Below are 2,946 nucleotides of genomic sequence, written 5' to 3'. Positions count from 1 at the left end.
CGGGAGTTCAAGATCAGCCAGGGTAACATGGCAAAACTCTATCTCTACAAAAAATGCAAAAAGTAGCTGGTCATGGTGACATACACCTGTGGTCCCAGCTACAAAGGATGCTGAGGCAGGAAGACGGCTTAAGCCTAAACGGTTGAGGCTGCAGTGAACCATGATCCTGCCACTGCACTCCAGCCTTGATGACAGAGCAACACCCTGTCGAAAAAAAAAAAAAAAAAATTAAAAAAATGATAACATATCTCCCAACTATGCCCTATAAAAAATTGGGAAATTGTCTTGCATTTACTTCAAGATTTATTCCTTGAGAGTTTTTTATTCTGTGAAAGTACCTATATTTATCCATTTCAGAATTCTTAAATTTTATTAATGTTTTGGTTGTCCAGAATATACAGAGTATATGTTTAAGAAACTTAGGAGGAAAGGGGCCAGGCATGGTGGCTCACGCCTGTAATCCCAGTACTTTGGGAGGCTGAGGTGGGTGGATCACCTGAGGTCAGGAGTTCAAGACCAGCCTGGCCAACATGGTGAAACCCTGTCTCTACTAAAAATACAAAAATTAGCCGGGCGTGGTGGTATGCGCCTGTAATCCCAGCTACTCAGGAGGCTGAGGCAGGAGAATCACTTGAACCTGGGAGGCGGAGGTTGCAGTGAGCTGAGATTGTGCCACTGAACTTCAGCCTGGGCAACAGAGTTAGACTCAGTCTCAAAGAGAAAAAAAAAAAAAAAAAAAGAAAAAGAAACTTAGGAGGAAAGGGCATATGCAGGATTCTAGGATCTCTAAGGGGATCCCCAATAAGTAACACCTCTTTTTCTCTCTTTCTCTTCTGGGTTTTGAACAAATTGAAGAAAGACAGATGGGAGATGTTATGGACCTAATTTTTTCCTCCCAAAATTCATGTATTGAAGCCCTAAGACCCAATATGACTATATTTGAAGGGAGGGTCTTTTGGGAGATAATTAAGGTTAAATGAAGTCAAAAGGGTGGAGCCTAATCCAACAGGATGGGCGTCCTAATAAGAAGAGGAAGAGACACTGGAGTGCACTCTCTGTCTCTCTGCACGCAAAGAGAAAAGGCCAGGTGAAGGCAGCAAGAAGGTGGCAGCCTGCAAGTGAGGAAGACAGTCCTCACTAGAAACCACCCTGATACCTTGACCTTAAACTGCTAACCTCCAGAACTGTGAGGAAGTAAATTTCTGTTGTTTAAGCTGCCTAGTGTGTGGTATTTTTTTTTTAAATATTATTATACTTTAAGTTTTAGGGTACATGTGCATAACGTGCAGGTTTGTTACATATGTATACATGTGCCATGTTGGTGTGCTGCACCCATTAACTCATCATTTAGCATTAGATATATCTCCTAATGCTATCCCTCCCCCCTCCCCCCACCCCACAACAGTCCCCAGTGTGTGATGTTCCCCTTCCTGTGTCCAAGTGTTCTCATTGTTCAATTCCTACCTATGAGTGAGAACATGCGGTGTTTGGTTTTTTTGTCCTTGTGATAGTTTGCTGAGAATGATGGTTTCCAGTTTCATCCATGTCCCTACAAAGGACATGAACTCATCATTTTTTATGGCTGCGTAGTATTCCGTGCTGTATATGTGCCACATTTTCTTAATCCAGTCTATCATTGTTGGACATTTGGGTTGGTTCCAAGACTTTGCTATTGTGAATAGTGCCACAATAAACATACGTGTGCATGTGTCTTTATAGCAGCATGATTTATAATCCTTTGGGTATATACCCAGTAATGGGATGGCTGGGTCAAATGGTATTTCTAGTTCTAGATCCCTGAGGAATCGCCACACTGACTTCCACAATGGTTGAACTAGTTTACAGTTCCACCAACAGTGTAAAAGTGTTCCTATTTCTCCACATCCTCTCCAGCACCTGTTGTTTCCTGACTTTTTAATGATCACCATTCTAACTAGTGTGAGATGCATTTGATTTGCATTTCTCTGATGGCCAGTGATGGTGAGCGTTTTTCATGTGTCTGTTGGCTACATAAATGTCTTCTTTTGAGAAGTGTCTGTTCATATCCTTTGCCCACTTTTTGATGGGGTTGTTTGTTTTTTTCTTGTAAATTTGTTTGAATTCATTGTAGATTCTGGATATTAGCTCTCGTGTGTGGTATTTTGTTATGGCAGACAGCACGCTAACACAGAAGATTTTTTTAAAATTGTACTTTTATTTGATAGAAGCCTGGTTGGAGGATGTAGCTTAAAATGAGAACAACTAAGCCTGCTAACTGTGCCCTAGAAAAAAGCAGCCCCCCCACTGCAAGGGGTCATGGGCTCACAGCAGGCCTCTCCATGCGGCAGAGCCCTTCTGAGCATCTTGTTCTCAAGAGAAAAAGGTCAGAATGAGATTAGCGTAACCTGTTGTTATTCTGAAATTTACCAATCCCTAGGGTAGACTGAGTAAATGGGTAGGGAGAGGCCAGAAGAAAACTCAGTCCTCATGGGAACTGGGAGAAGGGAAAGAATTCTCCCTCTAAAAACGTGTGTGCTTTCTGAGCTCTTGTGTGTTTGTGTAACAGAGGACAAAGTCAAAAGGGTTTGGCACTTCCTGGTGGGCTCCAACTTCTTTTCTTCTTCCAAGGGGAAGGACACTGCGGGGAGGGCTGGCAGGGTGTTTAAAATCCCTTTAGGGCATAACAATTTAGAGAACTTTTTTATAAAGGGTTAGGTACTGAGGAGTATAATACTCGTTCAAATGGTTGTTTATTAGGGCATAAATACTAAGCCATAAGGGCCCCTTAGAGTACACTTGTTTCCATCAGTCATCATTCATATTTCTGTTGTCAGTTAAGTCTCATCCTTCTTCCCCTTCTCTTCTCTCCCCTCCTCACATCACTCATTCTTTCCCTCGGTCCCTCTCTCTCTCTCTCCCACTCCCCATCCTTATCCTTTGGAGTCAATCTCCTATAAATGTCTTGTT

The 2,946-nt window shown here is 42.4% G+C and overlaps 1 annotated feature.

Moving 5' to 3' along the window:
* Window positions 2,111-2,620: an enhancer, noted in NCBI's record as "NANOG hESC enhancer chr14:59862330-59862839 (GRCh37/hg19 assembly coordinates)". NCBI's record gives its function as "activates a minimal SCP1, AML or CMV promoter by ChIP-STARR-seq in primed H9 embryonic stem cells {active_cell/tissue: H9 hESC(primed)}" and the evidence as "EXISTENCE:reporter gene assay evidence [ECO:0000049][PMID:30033119]".

Source organism: Homo sapiens, chromosome 14 (genome assembly GCF_000001405.40).
Source record: "Homo sapiens chromosome 14, GRCh38.p14 Primary Assembly".
Taxonomy (NCBI): Eukaryota; Metazoa; Chordata; class Mammalia; order Primates; family Hominidae; genus Homo; species Homo sapiens.
The sequence above is the reverse complement of the archived record's forward strand: the minus strand, read 5'-3'. Positions and strand labels throughout refer to the sequence as shown.